The sequence below is a fragment of the Homo sapiens genome, chromosome 12 (assembly GCF_000001405.40).
Source record: "Homo sapiens chromosome 12, GRCh38.p14 Primary Assembly".
NCBI classification, from domain to species: Eukaryota; Metazoa; Chordata; class Mammalia; order Primates; family Hominidae; genus Homo; species Homo sapiens.
The window spans coordinates 51,665,391-51,691,913 of NC_000012.12; the positions used below are offsets into that span (position 1 = coordinate 51,665,391).

General features: G+C 39.6%; 1 protein-coding gene across 4 annotated transcripts in view; it reads left to right on the forward strand.

The window, feature by feature from the left end:
* SCN8A (sodium voltage-gated channel alpha subunit 8) overlaps window positions 1–26,523 on the forward strand; it is a 221,632-nt gene that overhangs the window by 74,158 nt on the left and 120,951 nt on the right. For 2 of the 4 annotated variants that reach the window (NM_014191.4, NM_001177984.3), the window contains exons 3-6: window positions 18,784–18,902; window positions 20,978–21,067; window positions 21,701–21,829; window positions 23,368–23,459. In NM_014191.4, coding sequence (NP_055006.1) covers window positions 18,784–18,902; window positions 20,978–21,067; window positions 21,701–21,829; window positions 23,368–23,459 — 430 coding nt within the window. Of the gene's footprint in view, window positions 1–18,783; window positions 18,903–20,977; window positions 21,068–21,700; window positions 21,830–23,367; window positions 23,460–23,614; window positions 23,707–26,523 lie in introns of all 4 variants that reach the window. The other 2 variants (NM_001330260.2, NM_001369788.1) reach the window with 1 other exon arrangement.

Genomic DNA, 26,523 nt, shown 5'->3' on the forward strand with positions numbered 1-26,523 from the left:
TGGAAAGGATAACTTTAATAATTTTTTTTGGTAATCTTGAAAAAATATATACCACCATACAGAAAAGCTCATAAAGTATAAATACATAGCATAATGATTACAAACTAACAGCATGTCAAGAAAGAACATTGCTAGCACTTTAGATATGTTCATTGTACTTTTAAATGAAGGATATTTTACTTGATTAAAAATAATATTCTTGCTCAAGTTAACTTGCAAATCTTTACCAGCAGTGCTGATACTTCTATAGGGGTGGAAAAAGTCCACCTCCATTCTCCTAGGGTGCCAGCTGGGTCTTAGAATTAAATTGACATAACATAGATTAACAGGAGAAAAGCATAATACATGCTTTATGTAGCACAGGAACCCTCATGAAGAAATGAAGACCGTAGGCTGGGCGCAATGGTTCACGCCTGTAATCCCAGCACTTTGGGAGGCTGAGGTGGGTGGATCACAAGGTCAGGAGTTTGAGACCAGCCTGACCAACATGGTGAAACCCCATCTCTATTAAAAATACAAAAATTAGCTGGGTATGGTGGCACGGGCCTGTAATCCCAGCTACTCAGGAGGCTGAGTCAGGAGAATCACTTGAACCCGGGAGGTGGAGGTTGCAGTCAGCCAAGATTGTGCTACTGCACTCCAGCCTGGGTGACAGAGTGAGAGTCTGTCTCAAAAAAGAAAAAAAGAAAGAAATGAAGACCTAAAGAAGCAGAGTCAGTTATTTATATACTGGATTGGACAAAAAAGTAGTAAATTGTGAAGAAGCAACTAAATTATGTGGGCAGGCTTAAAAGATAAGACTTATTTAACAAGGTCAGTACAGTATTCTCTTGGTCTCACCTTCTCGCCCTTGAAGATAAGCATGTTGCCTTTCCTTCAGGTTCAGGGAGTGTCTTCCACACAGGAATTTCATCTTCCACTCTTAAGAAACAACAAGAAGATCAGAGTGATTTTTTTGCACCCGCTGTTATACAAATGTCTTTAACTTAGTCAATATGCCAGAATAGCGTATCTTAACCCCTTCACTTCTTGCTAACTAGGCCTTGTACTAAATTAGCAAGATCTCTTCTACAAGGAAGCACACTGGGAATTAACCCACAAATCAAAAAGTCATAAGGGTAGAAATGACTTTAAGAGGACATTCCTTTCTGTTTGTTCTTCAAGGGCTGCCTTAAATAATTCTTCGCAAAATAGAATCTCTTTTCTTTGCTAAATGATACCAGTGGAATCCTTTATCTTTTCCTCATAGGTCTCATTTTCTAACTGATGAATTGTCTTTGTGACTCTCACAAAAACTTGTTTCTTATTTCCTTCCCTCTTTCTCCTAGTGGGTAAGAGAGAACTCGTTTTCTATTAGTGAAGTTCTGGTTTTAGCTCGGATTTCACACTCCCAAGGGACACAGGGCCCTAAAAGTTGTGCACCACGTTTTCGAGATACTGTTATTTATTCCAGCTGGTACTGGTTTGGCTATCATAAGTATCTGAGGTCCTTGTTGGGTTTCACACTGACTTTTTCAGCTGGTCCCTGCAAACAATCTGAATCATCCTCTCTTTGAATTGCCTCAGACTTCTCAGGGCTACTTTACATTTTCTTTGTCTCTTGGTACTTCGTTCTAATACCTCCTTTCTTTGGCTTTCTTGTTTTTCAGCTGTTTGCTACAAATAATTGTTTAAGGAACATTTAAATTTTTAAATTCAGTTTTTAAAATAGGTAATATATTTAAGTGGTTAAAAATTCAAAGGTACTTGGTAAATAAGTTTCCTTTTTACACCTGTCTCTCATCTGTCTATTTCCTATCTCCCTGCACAGGCAACCACTGATAGTAGTATCTTCCAGAGTTTCTTTATGTGTATGCAAGCAAAAACAAATATGTGTTTTATGGAACTTGAACTCCATTAAAAGCCTTTGTTCTTGTTTTTTTCCTGTTGTTTTCTTAAACCTATTGAAGTCTTAATTTTGTTTTTTGTTTTTACTTACTATTATTTTTTTTTTTGGAGACAGAGTCTAACTCCAAGTTGGAGTGCAGTGATGCAATCATAGGTCACTGCAGCCTCAACCTCCTGGGCAACCTCCATCTCTGTCTCCCAAGTAGCTAGGATCATACGCATGCGCCACCACATCTGGCTAATTTTTGTATTTCTCCCACTTTTAAAAGTTTTTCTTGTTTAGTGAAAAATTAAGGACTTTTTCTCTGTTGCACAAAGTGCCTGTCTTCACTAAAAAAATGCTCTCCAATGCTTAATAATTTGTTGAATACAAAATGGCCATATATACTCCTAATGACTATCTTAAGTAGGCAGCCAGGAAATCTGTAGGTTAAGCTGAAACAAGGCCTTCAGAATTGACTCCTATCCCTTTTTAATTTCTTAGAACTGACAGTTGATATATGTGTCTTTTTTGTTTAATGGGTATACCGTGTTACAATCATATAAACAAAAATTTAAATTACAAGATTGATCAATGTGTTTTTAAATAGGGCACACTCCTATTGCATTAAAAAAATTATATATGGCCGGGCGTGGTGGTTCACGCCTGTAATCCCAGCACTTTGGGAGGCTGAGTCAGGCAGATCACTTGAGGTCGGGAGTTTGAGACCAGCCTGACCAACATGGAGAAACCCTGTCTCTACTAAAAATACAAAATTAGCCAGGTGTGGTGGTGCATGCCTATAGTCCCAGCTACTCAGGAGGCTGAGGCAGGAGAATCGCTTGAACCCGGGAGGTGGAGGTTGTGGTGAGCCGAGATCACGCCATCGCACTCCAGCCTGGGCAACAAGAGTGAAACTCCATCTCAAAAAAAAAAAAAAAAATTATATATAGCTTCCTAAAGTTCAGTTTACCTTCAACTTTTCAGGTGTACCTTTTTCTGCAAAGAGATATCTGCTTATTAGAATAATAGAAAATTATAATTTGATAGCCTTAGACATCATCTAGTTCATCCTCCTCATTTTATAAATTTTATGAGGTGAAGTACTTTGTCAAAAGCCCACACCACTGTTGGTGGTATAACCAGGACTAGAGCTCATGCCTCCTGACCCTCCATTTATTACAACATATTTCTAGTTCCCCACTTTTCTAATTTTTTATTAATTGATTCTCAGCCTCAATTGGCTCAGTTCTGCTGAAGCTGGGCAGGGAAATAGAAGAAAAATAAGCTCCATTTTCATTTATTCCTTAAAAATCCCTGTGGTTTTTAGGACAGGTCCTAAAAAGTGCAGTGGTAAGAGCAGTGCTTCTGGGGGAAAGGATTCATGTTAGCCCCCTGTATTGTATCTTCTCAAGTCAAGGAGCTCTGAGGTGTGCTATTCCAGGGACTTGGGCTTATTATCAATACCGCCAGTTATTCAACTGGACATGTGATCTTGAGGCAATTTGTTTAACCTTTCTACCACTTGTTACTTTTTAAAGGAAGAGTATTTCCTATCTGCCATAGTCCATCCCTAACCTATGGTAGGATAGTATACAATCATGTGTCACTTAACGATGGGGGTACGTTCTGAGAAATGAGTTATTAGGCCATTTCATCCTTGTTTGAATGTCACAGAGTGTACTTACACAAATCTAGACGATGTAGCCTACTGCACCCCTAGGCTATATGGTATAGCCTATTGCTCCCAGGCTACACACCTGTACAGCATGTTACCATATTGAATGCTGTAGACATTTGTAACACCATGGTATTTCTGTATCTAAACATAGCTAAACATAGAAAAGGTAATGCATTGTGCTATAGCTACAACTTTATGACAGATACAAGGTCACTGGGCAATAAGAATTTTTCAGCCTCATAATCATCTTATGGAACTACCATCCCAAATATTGTTGACCAAAACATTGTTATGTGGTGTCTGACTATAGTGGAAAGAGTGCCTAACTGGGAATATAAAACCTTGTTTTAGTTCCGGCTTTGCTTCATGTTTGTACTTGGCCAAATCACTTTAATTTCCTTACCTACAATATTTGCAAAATAGAGTTAGACCCATATCTGTATCTTTCTAATTGTATTTCACACTTTTGCCTGTCACATATTGTATTTTAGCTGTGGCGAACTACTTCCTGTTTCCTTAGTGTGGAAGATCCCTCCACCCACCCACCTTCTTCTGGTCTCCCTCTCTTCCTGTTGGAATGTACTCTGTCTTTTAGTTTTACCTTTTGATATTCTACCCACACAGGCCCAGCCCAGAGGCCTCTTTTTCCTTGTAGCCTAACTTAATTATCTTACACTTGGAGAACTGATTACTCCTTTTAAATTTTTAAAACACATTAGGATCTTCAGTCCTACATTGGATAAGAAGTTGGTTTCAGGTTTAACTCAGGTTAGATGTGGAGGGTACCTGTGTTCCCAATAATGTTTGCAATTTTCTCCTTATTTCACTAATATTAGTGCCATCAGCTTAAGTGATACATACACACGCAGCCCTATATGAGCTCCTGGCAGAAAATCCTTGCCAAAACTGTGCTGACACACTTTCAACAGGTGTGCAGCACAGAGACCATTACGGAAGGATTTATGTTCATTAGGTGTGATTTGAAGTATTGCTAATAAGTTGTATTTCCTGCTTTTGCACAATAAGCCTAAATGCTGCTTTCTGTTTTAAATAAAAACTACATATTTTAAAACTTTGGTTTATTTTGTTGTTAAAAATTTTTTCCCAACAATATAAGGAAACAAAATGATGTTTCAGTTATTTTATTTACCAAATCAAATTGAGATAAATGCTTTGAGACACTGGGAGGTGGGCCCTTCTCAAGGGGATGGGTCATTGATGGGCACGTATGGTCTTGTCCCCTCTCTAAGTATGGCTACCTAGAGGAGAAGGAATTTAATTAAGCATTCCTAAATCAGATTTCTCTTTTGTAGCCTTGGCAATAGACCAAAAGTTGGGAAATCTTATTTCTGATCCCATCCCTGTGTAATTCCAGGTGATCTTGGGCATGCTATTTAACCATTTAAGGTCTCAATTCCTCCAATCTAGAAAATTAAGATTATGCTAACAGCTAACATGTCACTTATTACAGGTTGCAGTATAGACCATTTCTGTAAGAAAAATCCAGGTCATCTAATTTGATTGGAATGTGGGGAAGTGACTGAGGAACAGTGGAAGATGAGGCTGGGGAGGGTGAGCTGGAGCAAATCCTGGAGGGCTTAGAATGTTAGACTCAGAGGTGTGGTGTTTGTTTGAGAAGCAGTAGAGAACTACTGAAGGTTCTGGAATGGGAGTAAGGATACGTGATGATAGCTGTGCTTAGAGAGGTGAATGGGACGACAATATGTAAGCTGGGCCAGAAGGAAAGAGAACTGAAACAGGCAGATCAGCTATGAAATAATGAAGGTCTGAGTTACAGTGGTGGGAGTGGAAATTAAGGGGATTGGATGAATTCAATATGATTTATGATAGATTATGGAGGGTTAAGGAAGGAATCGAGCATGCAATTATTCATTTGACAATTTGATAAATTGTTACTGAGTGTTTTCTATATGCCGGGGCTCTGTTCCGTGCCCTTGGGAACAAAACAGACAAGCCATATACATTGTTGGAACTTAGTTTTTTTGTTAGGGAAACACATAACAAACAAATACGGAAATAAAATTATTACTGATAATGATACGTGCATTAATGAAGATAACATGTTCCAGCTACTTTAGAGGCTTATGGTGCTCTAATTTGGTACAGAGACTAAACTTGGAGAATCCAGAAGAATCAAAGATTATATGGTCTCTCAAATATTCAGTATCTTAAATAGGACTTCAGCAAGTACTAAATTATAATCTTTAAAAGAGCCAATTTTGAGAGCATTTGCCCCTCTTGGATTTTTACACAGACAGAAATAAAATATACTTGAGCATCAGTGTGAGCTATTGGGGTGCTTACAAAGAAACCCAGCATTTTCTCCAGGTTTAACTCGGGTTAGATATGGAGGGTACCTGTGTTCCCAATAATGTTTGCAATTTTCTCCAGTCCTAAGTTCTCATGCAGGTACTAAGCTGTGATTCCATAGTTCTGAGCCACATAGGGTATAGACATAGACAGCTTTTACCTGAATTCTAGGATGTGTGTTATTAGCCAGTCACCTCAGCCATAAAATTCCACTGATTGGTAATTTTAGGAATTAGTTTCTGTTGGTTTCTCCAGGGTGTGATTTGTGCAATCTTATCATAACAAAAATTTACCTGTGGAATGGGACTATTTAATAATGGCCATTTAAATGTTAAAGAATGTTTCAAGATTATGATAATATCGATCATCTCTGACAATAATTAAACATATTTTAAGTGCTTTCTTAGTTAAGGAGAGAAAACTGTGTTATTATTTTACAGAGGGATGCTTCTCTTTTGAATTGTTTCCAAATTGACAAATGAGTTGTAAATGTTTCTTTACATATAACACTATTTGACACAACTTAAGATCAGGATTGTCCCATCATATGACAATTTCTGCTAACTCTGATTTTACCAGAAGAATTTTTGATACAAGCTCTGAAGATGCATTTCTATTCCAGACACTGTTGAGCCTGCAAAGTTTGGCCTATGGAACCAAGTTGGAATAAAAGATTCTGCTGATTTCAGAGAATAGGGTGCCCCATCTACTGTTCAAGACCAATCCCTCACCCCTGTCTTTGACCCTGTGCCTTTCTACCTCCTCTGGAATTTCACTCCTTTGGTTACCCTTTCTCTTTTCTGTATTTTCCGTCTTTCCTCTCATATAGGTTCCTTTCCCATAGTCTGTAAACACACTCAAAGCCTCTCCCATCCTAATGAATCCTCACTTGACCTCCTGTCCCCAGGTAGTCTAATTGCTTCCCATGCCACTGAAAATTGTAAAGAGGAGGGTTTACTCACCACATACACATATCTACCCACTCCTCCATCCTTGAAGCCTGACTGCATCCTCACCCCTTTCATGATATTATAAGATCTTCCCAATAACATCTCAAATGGCCAAGTCTAAGATTTTTTTTAAGTTCTTAACTCACTAAACCTCTCTGCAGTGTTTGACACCATTTATTATTCCCTGACTCTTATATCTCTTTACTTCCTTGGCCTAATTTTCTTTTTATCTCAAATGTTTCCTTCTCTTTCATGTTCTCAACCTTTCCCTAAAATGTTTATATTCCCCCAGATTCAGTTCTTGGCCCATGTTCCTCTCAGTTGGCACATTCTCCCTGGATGATCTCATCCAGCCTCAGTTCGAGGACTCCTGACTCTAGCCTAGCCTAGAATGTTCCTTAAATATTCAACACCTTGCCAGTCATCTGTTTCTGGATTTTCCCACAGGTTACTCAGTATATTCAGAATTGAACTCATTTTCTTCCCCTCAAACCTGCTTATCTTCTTTTATCTACTTTCCTAGTTGATGGCACCAGCAAAATTCTAGATATCATTTTTGACTCCCCAATTTTCTTCAGTCCCTGAGGATTGCCAGTACTAGGGATATCTCAGTATAATGATGCACGCTTTCACAAGTATGAAACAGTTGTGGCTCCAGAAACATTAACTTGCTTCCTCAAGTTCCCTCAACTAATATGTGGTAGAGTCAGGTTTCTGTTCCAGGGATCTGTGAATTTCACCTTCATGGTCTTTCTTCCATGCCCTGCTGTCTATATAGAGCATATTGCAGGATGATTTTTTTGGTTTTGTTTCCTATCATTTTTAGAGAATTTTCTATCATTTTGCATTGCCTCAATATGAAGTTAGTATAGTCAGCCCTCCATACCCATGGGTTCCACATTTAAGAATTTGGGGAAATTATTTGGGGAAAAAAGCACATCTGTACTGAACATGTACAGACATTTTTTTCTTGTAATTATTCCCAAACAATATAGTATAACTATTTATAAAGCATTTACATTGTATTAAGTATTATAAGTAATCTAGAGATGATTTAAAATTTACTGATGTGCATAGGTTATGTGCAAATACAATATCATCTTATGTCAGGGATTGAGCATCTGTGGATTTTGGTATCCCTGGGAGTCCTGGAGCCAATTCCCCGTGGATACTGAGGAACAACTGTATGTTGTTGTGTTTAGTTCATTTGTTTTATACCATACCTTCAGCATGGTATCTGAGACATAGAAAAGGAGAGAAGACTTTTCAAACTAAAATTAGTGAATTTTTATGGGTAGATGAGCTAAGGGGTAGAAAAGTGACCGTATAGCTTCAACTGGGCACCCAGAAGAAAGTTGGATATAGTTAAAGGTTAGGTGATTTTAGCTATAGTATTTCTTTATGAAAGAAGAGATTCATACATTCAACAAACATGTATGAACTGTCTACCTTGTGCCAGATAGGCATCACATTATGTACTGTGCTTGCTAAGCTGAGAAAATCATAGTAGATGGAAGATAAACCCCTCCCCTTCACGGATCTCAGGGTCCAGTGAGAGATACTGGTATGTAAACCTCAATAACAATATTCTGTGTTAACTGCTCTAATAGAAGTAAGTACAAGTGTTATAGGGACACACAGGAGGGAAGGACAATTCTATTGAAGAGAGTTGAATGGGGCTGTCTTCATAGAGGATGTGATCTTTGACCTGGACCTTTAAATATTAAAGTATGGTTAAAAAAAAATTCACCTGTCAGAGAAGAGATGAGAGAGTAGTTCAGGTGTGAGGAACAGTGCATATAAAGGCCGAGAGACATGACACAGGTTTAATTGTTTAAAATAGTGAGTGTAGCTGTAACTGAAGCATAGAGTGTGGTTTGGTAAGACAGGAGATAAAGCCTAGAGGCAGGTTGGAGCCAATGAGTGCATCCTAAGGGGTTTTGTTTTCTCTCACTTCCAGAGTTCCCAGGTTGGAAATAACCTTTGGGACCCATTTTGAGCTAGTGCAGCCTTGCTCTGGATTCTTGCTCTAACTTGTGCACAAGTGTCCTTCCTGCAGGCTTGTGCCAAGTATGTGGATCCAAATTAACAGAAATATTAGCCCCTTCTTGTCATCTTCTTTTTTTTTTGAGAGAGAGAGTCTTGTTCTGTCACCCAGGCTGGAGTGCAGTGGCACAGTCTCGGCTCACTGCAACCTCCGCCTCCCGGGTTCAAATGATTCTCCTGCCTCAGCCTCCCTAGTAGCTGGGATTACAGGTGCACGCCACCACGCCTGGCTAATTTTTTTGTATTTTTAGTAGAGACGGGGTTTTGCCATGTTGACCAGGCTGGTCTTGAGCTCCTGACCTCAGGTAATCCACCCGCCTCGGCCTCCCAAAATGATGGGAATACAGGCGTGAGCCACTGCACCTGGCCAGCCCCTTCTTGTCTTCTAATGGCCACTCCGTGTTTGGAGCCAAAGAGCTGAAGGAATGGCAGTACTGTGTGATAGCAGTGGCAGCATCATAACCACATTTAACGAGTGCCTGTTCTGTACCAGCCACTGTGTTAAGGACTCCTTGTGACCCTTCATTTAATCTTTATAACAACCTGATAAAATTGGAATAGTGATTGATGGCACCCACTTTATCAATAAGAAAACTGAGCCTTAGCAACCTTAACATAAGTTGCCTAAGATCATGACAGCTAATGAGTGACAGAGCTGGGTATTGAATCCAGGTCTTTCTGGCCTCAAAGCCTGTAAACCACTCTGCTTTGCTGCTTTCTAAGAGAGAGGAGAGTGAGAATAGATTCTAGAATATGAATTCAGTAAATAGAGGGGTTAATATGCTTTACATAATAAGCCTGCATTTTGCTCTTGCTTAGAGCAACTGTAGTCTGTGCACTTTAAGAGGTTAAAGTAGAAGGTGATCAAAGTCAAATTTATATCGAAGGACAACAAGGAAGAATGGCCATGGAGGAGGGTCAGACCTGCCCTGCCCTGGGAAGCAGCATTGTGCTGGCTCAGCATTGAAGCAGGTGCACAGTGCTGCTGCTCTGCCCGGTATGGCTTCCTGTGACCAGAACGTGAGCAGGAAGGGTGGCAGCTACTCCAAATGTAGGTTGGAGAGCATGGGGTTACAAGGTCAAAGCAAATGAAGAAGTGTATGCAGAAGCACCTGGAAAACTGTAAAGCCACAGGCAGATGTGGTGCTAGCATTATCTTCATCAAACTGAACTTGGAGAAAAGACCATAAACAGCACATGTAGGGGGTTCCGTTTTGCAACAGTTAAAGTTATTAAGTAGAGGAGATTCGTTCATTGATCTGAGGGTTGGACCAGATGACCTGGTGCAGTAAAAAGAGTTTAGAACTAGAAGCCGGGAGATCTAGTCCCTGGCAACTCCCCCGCCCCGCTCCTGCTCACTAGTGCTGTGACCTTAGTTTGGGCAGAGCATTCTGTGCTTGGTTTCTTGTTTGTGAAACGAATAGTTAGATTTGAGTAATAGTTTTGAAGCTTTTTAAAATTGTAGTATGCCTTGATAATTAAGAGTATAGGCTTTGTAGTTAGATTGCCTCAGTTCAATGCTAAATTTCACCACATAATAGCTGTGTTGTCTTGGGCAAGTTACTTAACCTCCTGCCTCAATTTTATCATCTGTAAAATAGTACCTACCTCATAGAGTAGTTGTGAGACAATTATTATATTAAGTATCTTAGTAGGGTGCCTGCCTGCCACATAGTAAATGCTTAATAAATATTGAATTTTATTATTTCTTCAAATAGACTCATAGGTAAAATTATCGGTTACTAAGAAGGAATTTTTAAAATACGGGATTTAGTGGTCTCTTTTGCTCCATTCTCAGTATCGTGTAATAGAGGCGTGGAAAATGATGGTTCTAAATAATCACACAGCTCAAATAGAAGTACACGCCTAGGGAAGAATTTTGCTGGTGTCTTTATGTCCTGCTTTGGTTTAGTATTTCTAAGGGGAGCTGGATAGTACCAGGACACGGGTACTCTGGAAATGCATTCCAGTTATGCCTTTGCTGGAGACTTTCCTGGGACACACTGGGGCTATATAATATAACCTATATTGTAATTTTACTTGAGGAATTCACTAGGCAGATTAGCATAAATCAGGATTCTTTTCAACATGGCATAGTCATTTTTACATAACAGGTCATTTGTTTCTGAACAGCTTCCTAGCCTGATATAGAATCTGTTTAGATTCTGCATTATATTTTCCGTTATTAAACCAGGGAAATTTTGAAAAGACACTTATTTGTTGCTTGCTATATTGGCTGTATGCATACTCAGAAATGAATGCCAAATTGCTGTTGATTAATGAACAACTGGCCAGTTGCCTAGTTCAGAAAGAGGTGCATAGGCCTGGGGGAATAAAGTACATATATTTTGTTTAGGCAGGCAAGAATTTAAGGCCAGAGAAGTTGGCTAAAAATGAGAGGACCAGTTAGTTCTAGAAATCAAAACAGTTAAGATCTAGGGACAGTCATAAGTCATTGCCAGTAATAGTTATAGTCAGATAGACTCAAAGGTTCCCAGCTGCCCTCTTGTTGATTAGCTAAACCTCTGAGCCCCTAGGTGTTCATTATAGCCAGAAGCTCATCAGATGCCTGCAGATTACCTTTGCCCTAGTTGAGATGTTGACCTCTCAGGATGGGGAGAATTGGTTGAGTGAAGAGCTGCTCTCCTGGGCCATGTGTTTCACAGCAAACCAGGGAATGGATAATAAATATTTCTCGAAGAAGCTTTCTCTTCTATGATATTCTCCACCCCTGCATTGAGTACTCTTCTATATAAAGTCTTTTCATATATATGCATCCTTTATTGTTTTGTTTTATTTTATTTTATTTTATTTTATTTTATTTTATTTTATTTTATTTTATTTTACCAAGACAGGGTCCTGCTCTGTTTCCCAGGCTGGAGAGCAGAGCTCACTGCAGTTTCAACCTCCTAGGCTCAAACGATCTTCCCACCTCAGCTTCCTAAGTAAGCTGGGTCTACAGGCACATGCCACCATTCCCAGCAAATTTTTTTTATTTTTTTTGTAGAGATGGAGTTTTGCCATGTTGCCCAGGCTGATCTCGAACTCCTGGGCTCAAGCGATCTTCCCTTCTTGGCCTCCAAGAGTGCTGGGATTACAGGATTACAGATGTGAGCCCATCCTGTTTTTTTTTAATTTACACTTTTTGTGTGGCTAAAAAAATTATTTCAGTCTTGGGATGGGGTGGAGACATGCTAATAAACTAGCTGTACTGCAGTCCTGTGATGACTGTGTGTGTTCATTGTTTTGCATTTGCAGTATGCTAGGATTTGTTTGGTATGCATATGGACGTGCTCTACCTGGCCTTGCACGGTGTTCCTTCCCCTAATAGTGGGCCCCAAAGAGAAGATATCTTACCCTGAGTTAACAATGGCAATGCTTCTACATTGTGTGCTCCAAGCCCCACATTGCTAATTAGAAATGAAAAGCCTGTGCTTTTCAGAAGGCTCATTTTATGCCACATGACACATTTATTAATACTCCATGCCATAACTCGTTAAGAACTGTTCTGCCGCTCTTAATGGACCTTGTGCTGAAACACATTCAGTGGCTGTTGTTGTAAACTGATATTTCCCCTTGGGCAGTAACCGCAATCCAATTTCAATTTCCCTTTTAACTCATTTACTTCACAAAGATCTAATTTGAGACAGATTAGGTAAAATATTATTGGACTTCATGGGCACCAAGTGATTGTTGTTTAAGAAGTATTGTAAAAACCCAAAGCTTGCTGTCCTTTCCACTATATCTAGGCTTTGAAGGATCTGGCGTTAGAGCGTAGTGTTGAACGAGAGAGGACAAATGTCCTTTTCTGGATTCCCACCAGAAGTTTAACGATGATTACAAACGTTTAATCAGCCATATGAAACATATATACATATATCTCTCTCAAAGTCAACCCATCACCAGTCATTCCTTTCCATTCTCCCATATTCACTGTTCTCCTGAGAACAGGGGATAAAAGTAGGGGAGATAGTGCAGGGAAAAGCATTGTGTGACGCAGTTCTGCCTTGGGGCTGCTCTATGCTCCCCCCTGCTGACATAAGTATGGTACTATCAAGCACTGTTGACCCTGGACTTGACAGACTTCAACATAAGGAAGCAGAATAACTAACTCAAGAGAGTTCTACAAGGATAAAATGTGAGAGAATAAATAATAATAGGCTTTCTCCTCAAATTTATGGTTTGCTGCTTTGTTGCACTTAATCCTGGATGCTCTGTGAATTTTCTAAATCGTAGAATTACAGATATCAGTGCTGGAAAGGACCTGAGTATGCCCATCAGGCAGCCCTCTCTCTTATTTTATAGACGAAGAAAATGAGATCTAGAGACATGCAGTGGCCCAGCCAGGCCATACAGTTAGGCAGAGGCAGGGAAGAAGGAGAACACAAATGTTTTAGCACATGACCTGAGAGATGATCTAGTGGTTCCCCAAATCTGGTGAGCACAGATTCCTGGATTCTGCACACTTATTTAATAGAACACCTGGAGAAGGGATTTATGACTGTGTTTTTTAAAAAGCTACTCAGCCTAGGCTGGGCATGGTGGCTCACGCCTGTAATCCCAGCACTTTGGGAGGCTGAGGCAGGTGGATCACGAGGTCAGGAGATCGAGACCATCCTGGCTAACACGGTGAAACCCCGTCTCTACTAAAAATACAAAAATTAGCTGGGCATGGTGGCGGGCGCCTGTAGTCCCAGCTACTCGGGAGGCTGAGGCAGGAGAATGGCATGAACCCAGGAGGTGGAGGTTGCAGTGAGCCGAGATCACACCGCTGCACTCCAGCCTAGGCAGCAGAGCGAGGCTCCGTCTCCAAAAAAAATAAAAAAATAAAAAAAAATAAAGCTACTCACCCCAGGTGCAGTGGCTCACAGCTATAATCATAATCCCAGCACTTTGGGAGGTCAAGGCAGGAGGATTGCATGAGGCCAGGAGTTCGAGACCAGCCTGGACAACATAGCAAGACCCTGTCTCTACAAAAAATAAAAATAAAAGATAAGACAAAATAGAAAGCTAGTCAGATGATTCTTATGCAGTCAGTCTGGACTTAGTCAGGAACTAATATTAGTGTATCCCCTGGGGCAGATCAGTTTTGCCATCTGTTTTTGTATGGCCCACAAGCTAAGAGTAGTTTACATTCTTAAATGGTTGGATGTGTGAAAATGATACGAAATTTAAATTTCTGTGTCCATAAAGTTTTACTGAAACACAGCCACTCTTCTTGGGTTGCATGTTGTCTATGGCTACTTTTACACCACAGTTACAGGGGTAAGTTGTTTTAACAGACACTGTATGGCCTACAAAGCCTGCAGTATTGACTGCCTGCGCCCTTTCAGAAAAAGCTTGCTGGTGCCGGGTATATTACTTATCTCTTTCTCGTGTAACTACTGCAAGCCCCAGTATTAAAAGGGAAATTCCTAAGCTTTGAGTACTTGTGTTTGTCCAAAGACTATCTTGCCTTTTTTTTTTTTTTTTTTTTTTGAGACGGAGTCTCGCTCTGTTGCCCAGGCTGGAGTGCAGTGGTGCAATCTTGGCTCACTGCAAGCTTTGCCTCCTGGGTTCAAGCGATTCTCCTGCCTCAGCCTCCAGAGTAGCTGGGACTACAGGCACATGCCACCATGTCGGGCTAATTTTTGTATTTTTAGTAGAGATGGGGTTTTACCATATTGGTCAGGCTGGTCTTGAACCGCTGACCTCGTGATCCACTCACCTCGACCTCCCAAAGTGCTGGACTTATAGGTGGACTATCTTGCTTTTCAAAAAAGATCCATTGTGAAAAACTGCATGCAAATTATCTGTAAATCTAATTATTTCAATAATAAAACATGTTTTATTGTAATACAATTTCCTACTAAAGTATGGGAGATTTACCTTCATTTCAGGAGTTTAGTGTGCTAGATGTTTATTTTTGTTAACAGAAAAACTGTTTTTATACTTGATGAAGATATAAGATGTAAATATTTAGAAAGGGGTGATGGTAAATGAGTTTTATTTTAAGTGCAACACTCAGTACCCAAATTAATTAGGAAATTTCTATTTCACACATCAAATGTCCTTAGTAAAGCCTTCTGCTTACAAAATCATAGTTTTTGAATTCACTAAAGATGCTTAGTTTCCCCCAGAATCATCAGTCTCCCACTTGACAGCTCATGACTGATCCTAATTCAGAATCCTACCTCCTAGTTTTTCTTCAACCAAGGTGTAACAGTTTCCATTTCCTAATGGCTTCCTTTTGTTTTTCTTCTTCTCCTTTTCCCTCACCTAAAACAACATAAGCATTTGTTCATGAACCAATCAACAGACATTTATGAAGCACCTGCTGTATGCCAAGCACTGCAGGCACTGATTCAGTGATAGGAAATACCCTCCATGCTACCTCTAGACCTATATTTCCATCACGACCAAACCAAGAGACAAGAAAAATGGAAAGTATAGAGTACATTACTTTAAAAAATCCTGCCAGGCGCGGTGACTCACGCCTTTAATCCCAGCCCTTTGGGAGGCTGAGGCAGGCGGATCATCCGAAGTCAGGAGTTCAAGACCAGCCTGGCCAACATGGTGAAACCCTGTCTCTACTAAAAATACAAAAAAATTAGCCGGGCGTGGTGGCAGGTGCCTGTAATCTCAAGTACTGGGGAGGCTGAAGCAGGAAAATTGCTTGAACCCGGGAGGCGGAGGTTGCAGTGAGCCGAGATTGCGCCATTGCACTCCAACCTGGGCAACAAAAGCAAAACTCTGTCTCAAAATAATAATAATAATAATAAATAAAAAATAAAAATCCTGTTGTCTGTCTCCTAAGGAGAGGTTTTGTAGGTGATATTGTAAAGGCCTGGCCCGGTGGTTTTTAGGTCTTGGGGCATGGGCCAGTGCTTCTTTCATTGTTGCTTAGCTGCCCTATCTACCCCGGGGACTCAAATTTCTCATTCACCAGAGAATTTGTCTCCCACACCAACTTCATTCTTTGCCACGTTGCCACTGAACTGCCTCCCAATCTGGCACAGTGGAAGCTGTTGAGAGGCTCGAAGCTCGGCATAACATGCTGCTCTTTGCTGCGTGACCTTTGATAGGTGGTGTTCCTCTCCTGAGCTTTTGTTAAGTGTATAGAGGATAATAATTCCTCCTTCACCCATACTTCATGGGAACCTCATGAGGTTGAATGAGGAGGTTATTTAAAAGGCTATTTTCATAGAGGGAGTTGCTGTAGAAACACAGAGAGGTACAAGTACTTCAGAGAAGGGGTTTGGGGGAAGCCCTGGGCTGTTTGTTTCTTTGAGAAGCCAAGATATGGAAGAGCTATAGCTCAGCCCTCGATATGTTTCAGATGAACCCTAGGTCTCCTACTTCTCTTTGCTTTTAGGATTAGGCTTTTTCTGCAGCATATCCCACCAGAACCAGTATGCTCCATTACAGGAAGAATTTCACTGCAGTACAATGTCAAACACTAGGGATGGTGTAGTGGGCGTTTGTAGAATGAATCTAGCTCAATACTTTTCCATTGGGAAGAGAATGACGTGACTCTGGTAGATTAGGAAAGGAAAGAATAGAAGATAAGAAAAGAACTTTAAAAAACATCACTAATACTGTGCATTGGGAGTACATAGGCTGATCATTATTTTGGAACTGTGGAGGGAAGCATAAGATTGGTTCCTGCCCTCAAAGAACCAAAAGCCTAATTGTAGGGGATGGAGGTTAAAAAAAAAAAGGTGGGGGCTTTTCATAAATGACCTGTATCAGGTTAAGAAGGACCTCTATTACTAGTTTGTTGAGTACTTTTATTATGAAAGGTGTTGAATTTTGTCAAATGCTTTTTTCTGCATCTATTAAGATGATCATGTGGTTTTTCTCCTTTATTAATATGTTGCATTACATTGGTTGATTTTCAAATGCTAAACTATCTTTGCATTCCTGGGATAAATCCCACTTGGTCATGGTGTGCAACCCTTTTTATATGCTACTGGATTTGGTTTGCTGGCATTTTTGTTGAGGCTGTCTGTGTCTATATTCATAAGGGATGTTAGTATAGAGTTTTCTTATGATGTCTTTGGTTTTGTATCAAGGTAATACTGGCCTTTAGAATGAGTTTAGAAATGTTCTCTTCTATTTTGTGGGAGAGTTTGTTTAATTCTTTAAACATTTGGTAGAATTCATCAGCAAAACCGTCTGGTCCTGGGCTCTTCTTTGTGGAGGTTCATTTTTTAATGCAAGGTACAGAAGAGTATTTATGGAACAATCCCATGTGAGAGAGAGACTTTTTAAGGACATAGATGTATGCTTTTATTTACATAGAAAATTTCTAGAAGGATATACAAAAAAACTGGCATCGAAGGTTATCATTAGGTAATGAGATGGAACTTGGTCTTATGTTCCTTTTTTCTTTTAAAAAAATTATGATCATGCATTGCTCCAAAATTTAAAAATAAAAAACTACTTAAAATGACTAGCATTTATTTGGCCATTTGCTCTTTCACTCACACAGTGAGATGTTAGGACTGTGTATCTGCCACTGGCCTGTCTCCTTAGGAACTTGCAGTCTAGTAGGCCCTTGCATCTCTCAGCTTCACAGTCTGCTCTCCCTCTTCCCTATTTTATTCTCCATCAACACTGAATTACTGGTCAATTCCCTAAAAAAAACCTGCAGCTACATGCTACTATGCTTTCATACATGTGATTTTTGTTCCCTTACCTTTCCATCCCTTCTCACTAAATCTGCCCAATTAATTTTTCTTAATTCTTGTTTGTCCTTTAAAGCCCCTTCCAAATATTAGTTACCTTCCTTTGTGAACTTCCCAGCTCACTCTCTTTTTTATTTCCCAGCCAAGGGGAAAAAAATCTCTCCCTCCTGCTGCCTCTCATACATTATGCATATTTTTGTTATTGAACTTTGTACTTACCCTGCATCATAATTACTAGCTCACATATGTGTCTTCCCTAAAAGTACAGTTTTATTCAGTGTTGTGTCCTGGTAATTAGCACAATGCTTGGCACAGAATAGATGCTCAAAAATATTTTAATTCAATTGAATTCAGAACACAGGGCATTCTGGGTAGAATGAGCCACATAAACAAAGGCCAACGTTATGAATTATGAGAACCTGTTCCGAGGACATGAGCTAGTTTGGCTAGATGGGAACATTCATACTGGGAAATATGATTTAATTATTTTGGCAAGGCTGATATTGGGGGCTCTTGAAAGCCATATAAAGCAGATTGAATATTGGTAAGTAAATATTGATTGAATGAAGAACATTTCTCACTTCCTTCCAGTCTTTGCTGAAATCTCTCTTCTCAATAGGCTTATCCTGACCACCTCTTTAAAACTGTTGCCTCTTTATTCACCCATCCCCTGACTCCAGCATTCTTGATCTTCCTCTCCCTGTTCTTCCTCCTTTTCCCATAGCACTTGTCATCTTCTGTGTAGCACAGCCTATATGATTTACTCATTCATTACAGTTTTTATTTATTGTCTGTCTTTCCCACTAGAATTTAAACTCTTCGGGCCAAGACTATCTTGTTCACTGACCATTCCCAAGCACCTAGAACACTGTCTGACACATAGTAGGTGTCCAGTCAATATTTGTTGAGTGAATGAATCCTAAATTAATGAACTTCAGTATCGTGTACAGAGCTGGCATAGAAGCTTAGGTATGATTCAAATGGCCTGTTTCTGAAAGAAACAAGTTTATTCTGTAAAACTGCCAAGATTGCATCAGCTATTTGTATTATAATCTGGGCAGGGCAGAGGGAGGGAGGTGGGGCAAACATTGTGTTAAGTTTGCTTGTTTAAAAACCAAGTTGGGAAGTAAAAAGTATTAAAGACTTTTGAGTTTATGTATTCCTTACCTAGAAATCATTGTTTCATGTGGTGACTCATACCCATGCTTTAATAATTTCTCTCTCTTTCTTTCTCCACAGACCTTTGTAGTATTAAACAGAGGGAAAACTCTCTTCAGATTTAGTGCCACGCCTGCCTTGTACATTTTAAGTCCTTTTAACCTGATAAGAAGAATAGCTATTAAAATTTTGATACATTCATATCCTTTTCGGCAAATGTGGAGTGAGTGCGGCAATTGCATGGTTGCTTGTTTACCTTTCCAATATTTGACAACTGGATTATATGTTAAGTTTTTTACTGATAGTGTAGTTAACTAGCCCATCAGTCAGAGGTTTAAGAGTGAACTCCTGCCACATCCCAAGCTAAGCTTCAGCAAATTATTATTTTTTTTCTTAGGATGATATTGTGGGAATCTGAAATTTTGTTTGGTATCATTGTATGGACAAATTAAAATAACCTTTGTTGAAGTCTTAACTTTATTTAGTACTCAGACTTCAGTGATTTCTTTCTGTGGCCAACTATTCAGCTTAATATATTAAAAGCCATTATTAGAGGTTTTTGAAAGTCCTTCTTGAGTTACAAATAGTTGGATGAATGCTTTAGAAATCAGCTTTGAATTTTTAAAAAATTTTTTGAGCAGTGAGCTTAGAAAGTGAGATAGTTCTCAGATGAAATAACCTCCTTGTTACAGAGGTTTAGATGCAGATTGTAGGATAAATAGGAATTTTTTCTGGTATTTTTACTCACCTTAAATAGAAAAATGCCAATTTATTCAAGTGGCCTGAGTTACACCTTATTAACATATGAGAGTGCATGTGGCAAATGAAAAATTATTTGATGGATTTAGTGATGTTGCATGGTGGCTTGAAACTTCCATGGCTGGTCGATATTTAACAGCATGTAGTCCCATGCTTCGAAGATTACTGTATCCTCCAAGTAGGATGAGGAAGCCAGCAGTGGCAACTTGGTGAATTGGTTTAGAAGCTTTTGCCACATTTTATTAACTCTTGAGAATTTAGCAACATGGTTGTGAAATCTGTAGTTTAGAAGCAACACACTTCTGAAACCTGAAAGTTTATAAGGAAATAAATAATTCACAGTGGACTTCTTCCTTTCTGTTGGATCAGAAGATGGAGTGTTTTTTCTCTTCTGGTTCCAAAAAGCATGAAGACAAATCCAGCTGTAATGAAGAAAAAAAAATCCAGCTGTAAGAAATATTTTCTCTTTTTAAAACTCCACTGGTAGAATAAAGATAGTGAATGCCATTAACAAGAGAGAGTGAATTAGTGGCAAGTGGGATATGGCTCCCAGGCTCTAATTGGCTCTAATTGTCTAATATGACAATTAGAGTTTGAGTAACTTGTGCTGACCTAAAATAGTTTAATTTTTCTCAGAGATAAGAACAGAAAGGCCTGAGAAAAATTCTGGATGGAAATGAAATGGCAGTATGGTTTGCTATCCATAAACATTCCTGGACACTTTCAGAATGGATTTTGCTCTATTACCTAGTCTTCAGAAGTGTGGTGGTGCAGATGTCCTTGAAATCTTTACCTAACACGCCGCAGCTGGTTTCCCACATTGGACATATTCAACACATATGGGCTGTATTGGCTGATGCCTTGCCCCCAAAGACAATTCAGCCCTTTAGAAGGACTAGGGAAGGCTGGGTATGATGGCTCAGGCCTGTAATCCTAGCACTTTAGAAGGCTGAGGATGTAGGATCACTTGAGCCCAGGGCTTCAAGACCAGCCTGGATGACATAGAGAGACCTTGTCTCTTAAAAAAGAACAACAACTATGGAAAAAAAGTGAACCATTGCATGTAGATTTTCAAATAACTAGCTATATAAGATAATTAACTTACCAATAAATGAATACCTAGTCATATAGATTTAATTGATTTTCTTATCTGACAACTTTGGTTGAGAAAGTGCAAAGGTATTATACTAAGTGCAAAAAACATTTAGAGGCTTAGTCTGTAGTTGAGCTGAAAAGTGGTTAGGGGAACATGTTTCATCCAAAGGGAGTAGAACAGTGACGGCCCTTTTGAAAGAAGGAGAATAGCTGTCCTTCCCCATCCATCCACAGTTCACAGTGGCATGCTGTGTTTATGGTGGTGACCACAGTTTTCATTGTCACCTTGCATTTTTCTCTTCTGTGCTTCATCTCCTTTCAGGTTATTGATTTAGATCTGATACCCAATGGAAATGTGTTTGTTTTTTGAGAAAACAAAAGGCAGGCCAGATTTTAATATTGCCCCTTGACTCTTCTCTACAGTATTTAGCATGATCATTATGTGCACTATTTTGACCAACTGTGTATTCATGACTTTTAGTAACCCTCCTGACTGGTCGAAGAATGTGGAGTAAGTAACTCATTTATGTGTGTGCTTGTTTGTTTTAAATATTTTTAGTCACTAAATCTTGCTTTGCCACAGTTTACCCATCAAGGAGAAAAAAAATTAGTTATTGCCTCTCTTTATTTCACAGAGAAGGCTGAAAGTACATGTGGAATTTAGGAAATAGCCCTCCCTAAAAGTCAACTCTAGAAATTACTGCCCTTCACTCCACCCTTTCCTGTGCCAGGCAGTGCCGTTGCCCTGCAGCCCCATCACCATCTTGTATCCTCAGTTCCTGGTGATACTGTTTTCTCCAATTTTAGGTTTCCCTGTTTTTTGACTTCTCTAAGGTTAAAAACAGCTCTGGGGGGCCTCCTTACCTTCTTCAAAATGATCATGTACTAGATAGCTGCAAAGTTAACTTCCTTGGAATACAGTTCAGGACCCAGTACAACATTCCAAAGGTCTTAGTTTGTGCATTTCAGTAAGTTTCATTCAAAGCATTTCTTTCTCCTCCTCACTTCCTTCCTGCTGCATTGGCTGTGCCCTTTCTGTTTTGTCTCTCTTAGTTGAAGCAACACTTCAGGCAAGTGCTAACTTAAAAGGTTCATTTAAAGTTTCTGTCCAGAAATTACCTCAAGCTATTCATTTCTTTGACAGGTACACGTTCACAGGGATTTATACATTTGAATCACTAGTGAAAATCATTGCAAGAGGTTTCTGCATAGATGGCTTTACCTTTTTACGGGACCCATGGAACTGGTTAGATTTCAGTGTCATCATGATGGCGTAAGTTCTCCCCTTACTTTATTGGTGTTCTGGGTGTGATTCTGTGTGTGGAGTTGTACTCCTGGGTCTGTTTGTAGGTGTGCATTTGTGGACACAGCTGTATGAGGAATTAATGGATAACCATGTAAGGCCCTGTGGGCTTATGTCTATGATTCTTGCTTGTGAGGGCCTCTTGTGGTTCAGGCGATGATAATGTGATTATGTGGGAGAAGGCAAGCAGAGGCTTTACAGCTGGGAGAGAAAGGAGGAGGTGATTTCCCATTGGCACTCTCTCGTATTTTATTCCTCCTTGTAACGATCACGGTTTGCACACCTATCATTACAAGGCCTCTGTGAAGACTTGAAATTTTTTAGTTGTAAACTTTCAGCTGAAAATTAGTTTCCTGGGTATGTCTTACCGTATGTAATTTAATAAGGCTGGCCAGGAGTTGCAGACTTCAGAGCACATTTTAGAGTCAAAACATGAGCCAAGGTACCCACACTGGCACTTCCTGAAGAGTTACTAACCAGAATTTCGAACTATTGCTCAAGATCAGTGTAACTCCACATTGGTATGTTACTGCTCTTGCTCATTTGTGTTGTTTTAGCAATAAAAATGTATCTTTGGGAAACTTAGCTGATGATAGAAGAGTTATAGCAGGCTTTAATATTTTTATTTCCAGGTTGGGAAAGCGTTTTGTGGTTTGAGAGTGTAGTGGGGGTGGTGTATAGGTTTTGCATGTATGCATGATGTGTAAGAAAGAGTGCATTTAAATATGTATTGATCTGAGCATCTGGTGGAAAGATGTATTTCAACTGTAAAATGTGAATAAATGATATGCATCGAATACTTGAAACTGAAACTGACTTTCTGTTATATAAAGGCAATGTCTTACTTTCTAGCATTATGAATACACATTAGTGTTCATTTAAAATTTTTAAGTGTCCTTGCTAGGCACAGAGCTTGTAATTAAAATGAGCACTTAACACAATATTTGCTCTGATCCCATGATTTGGATTTTCCTGAGCCCTGCTTTTGTATGTCACAGGCCAAAACTTCGTTTATAGACATGACTACAATCATATGATTACAACTCCTGATTAAGTCATATATACAGACATTTAGTCAATTTTGCCATTGTCAACTAGGGAGTTACTTTAATGTAGATTTGTTTTTGTGGGGCTCCTGCTGCAGAAATTTGTCTCCCTCTCTTAAGAAATTGTTCGCAAAACCTGGGAACATAAGTCTTTGATACCTCCTGGCCTTCCTTTTTACTAAAAAATGTGAATGGGCTGACAGTAAAGCCATTCTGATTGGGATCAGCACATTACTATGCTGATTAAAGGAGTAAATCCCAAAAACCTCCTTTCTAATATACTTTTGAATTCTTCTTGTCCAATTAAAAACAAATGTTCCTTAAATGTTTGTATTTTGAAGCTTTTCTTTTTCAAGGAAAAAAAATGAAACCATAGCTTGTATATAAGACCCTTTCTTCCCCCCATTCTCAAACCCTCGCCCAGTGGTACCATTACAAGTTAACTTTGGTTTGATTCTGCAGGTATATAACAGAGTTTGTAAACCTAGGCAATGTTTCAGCTCTACGCACTTTCAGGGTACTGAGGGCTTTGAAAACTATTTCGGTAATCCCAGGTAAGATGGTCCGGGGTTGGTGTTAGGTGTTGGGATAGGGCCCTGACGTGACGTATTGTACTTTTTGTTTTGTTGTGGTTTTGTTTTTTCCTTTGGTGTTTGTGTTTGTGTCTGTGTTTGTCACTTGTGTCTGTGTGTGACCTCCCTTACTACAGATATGTGACAGAGTTTGTGGACCTGGGCAATGTCTCAGCGCTGAGAACATTCAGGGTTCTCCGAGCTTTGAAAACTATCTCTGTAATTCCAGGTGAGAAAATTTGTACATAAGACTGACTTTGCCACATCTCCTCTTTCTCCTCCATTCGTTTTGTCCACCATTCTAAAGCAGCATCAGTACAGTTGATAATGGCCTTGCATTCTGCATGTTTTTCCTGGGAGACATTCTCTGGAATGGCCGTTGGGTCCTCAGGCAGTTTTCTCTGAGTGCTTGCCAGGCATGCAGCCCCCATTCCATCCATGCTATTGAAAAAGCACGTGCTTAAGAATCACTTGGATCTCACCATATTTGAAAAAATTGTCACAGAGCTAGCTGTCTCTTTGTATATAAATCATTTGCTTCCTGGCTCCATGGAATTACAGTAATTTTGACATTTGCCATCATTTCATTGCTTGTGATTTCTAGGCTTCCTATCGCATGGTTTGCTGATGGGACGTTATTCAAAGAATTATACATTTACTATTACTATATTAATGAAATTTTTTAATCACAGAAGAGATCTACCCAGTTAACTAATCCAGTATCAGAGACAAATTTAAGAGACTTGGAGTTAGTGAACTGCACTTAAATAATCACTGTCTATCATGTTCTACTGCTGTCTGTCTCACTAGAATAAGAACCAGTAGACATCTACTGTACATATTCAGGGTTCATTCTCAGACATAAATCCCAATGAAAGCTTATGCAGGCACTGTTAAAAAAAAATCAAAGGTAAGATAAGATACAACTAAAGGTATGGGCAACAAAAAGTATAGAAGTTTGAGGGGGAAAAACAGAATCAGTAGGTGAGTTGAGAGTTAGTTGATTGACAACCTCTTTAAAATTTGTGCCTTTTTCTTTTTGGTTCTGGTTGAGCTAGCCCAGTGGTTCTTAACCTTTTGAAGGTTTTGGATCCCTTTGAGAATCAGATGAAAGTTCACAGACCCCCCCCGAAGCCCATCCATGGACCCCAGGTTAAGATTCCTTAATTTAATTTAAATCATTGCTACTGGGTAATACTTATCTTTCTAAAGACCAGTCTTGAAATCTTAAAGGAAAGATATTTTAGTTAGTATTGTGAGCCTAAGATATACTGGCAGTAACTTGGCAGAGGTGAAGACTGTGTTGTTGCTCTTTGGACTTTAGTTGTGGTCATGGGTTTTCAAGGAAGACTCCGTAGAGACCAGGCTTTCCACAGCAGTTTCGTAGAAATAGGAATGTGGAGAAAGAACAGAGGCATCCTATTCTTATCCTATTCCTATTACGTGGCTCTTCCCCTTGTGGCTGACTCAGAAATATCTCTCTTTTTAAAATTTATTTTTATTTTCTAGAGACAGGGTCTCACTCTGTTGCCCAGGCTGGAGTGGTACGATGATGGCTCACTGCAGCCTTGACTTCCAGGGCCCAAGTGATCCTTCCTTCTCAGCCTTCCAAGTAGCTGAGACCACAGGTGCATGCCATCACACCCAGCTCATTTTTAAAAAAAAATTTTTTTGTAGAGACAGGGTCTCCCTATGTGTTGCCCAGGCTGGCTGCCAACTCCTGGGCTCAAGCAATCTTCCTGCATCAGCCTCCCAAAGTGCTGGGATTACAGGCGTGAACCACTGCATCTGGCCCAGAAATATTTCTTTTTCCCCTTTTTAACATTATCTCAATAGCAGATAGAGAGGGAAGCACAAAGATAGAATCCTGGAGAGGGCAGACTGGAATGTGGTTTACTGAGAACCTCAAAGAAGGTAAATTCATCTTCACCACTTACAAATTTGGGCCATGGAGTTGGCCAGTAAATCAGTGCCCTACCAAAGATGAATTCCTATATTTTTAGCGATGGTAGCTGACTCCCTATCAACCAAAGGCTGGGTGTCAGTTGGAGTATATACTTCTTGGCAAAAAACTACAACCTTAACTTACCAAGATTTAGTTCCTAGCCATTTTAAATCTGCTTAACAGAAAGCTCAGCTCATTCTCCAGACAGCCTCAGATAGCTCATTGATGGTGGCCTAATCTTTAGGCAAGCCCTGTCTTATTTTTTGAGGCATCTGGAATGCCACATCTTTACTTTCCTTTTTCCTATGGTGTCTCTCCTCCTCTGGCCCCTTTTAAATATGATCTTGTGTTTTCTGCTCACTTCCCTCAGCGTACTCTGCAAGGCATCTGTCTCTTTATGTTCCTGTGATCTCAAAACTTCTCTCCCAGAATTAAATTGGAAAGCTGTATTCTATTCACTAACTAGGGCAGCAGATGCTGTCTCTAGTCTAGCTCATAGCTTCTGTCTCTGTCTCTGCTATATGGTTAACTTTTGACCATGGCATTTCTGCAAGATAACTCTTGATTGGTGTCACGTTATTTATTCTTTGTATATATCCTTAATATGTCATGTTATTTATCCTTTATATATATATATATATCTGGAATATATGCAGTATCTAACACAGTGGTGCCTGGCCCATAGTAGTGCTCCATAAATGATTGTAGTAGCAGCACTTATGATTATAAAGAAACCTAAGCCAATAGAAAGGGTTTGTATCAAGATTTAGACATCAGCTTCACAGTTTGAAATAGAGTCCCAGATTCCTATTTCTAGAAGCACCCCCAATTGAGCTGGCTTTGGGAGGCTAACTGGGGTGGAAAATAACATTAAGGGATAGTAAAGCGAATAATAGATCACTGTCAGTAAATGGTATATTTGGTTCTTGAATTAAAAGTGTGGCTCTCAGTCTCAATCTTTTTGCTCCCGATTCTATGTTTTAGAGTTAGCAAGAGAAATCCAGTAATGAAGTTTCCCTCATGGGAAGTTTTCTCTCATCCCATGGGAAATTCTGAAATTGCTGATTATGCTTTCTCCCATAGAGGGCTGTTGTGCTATTC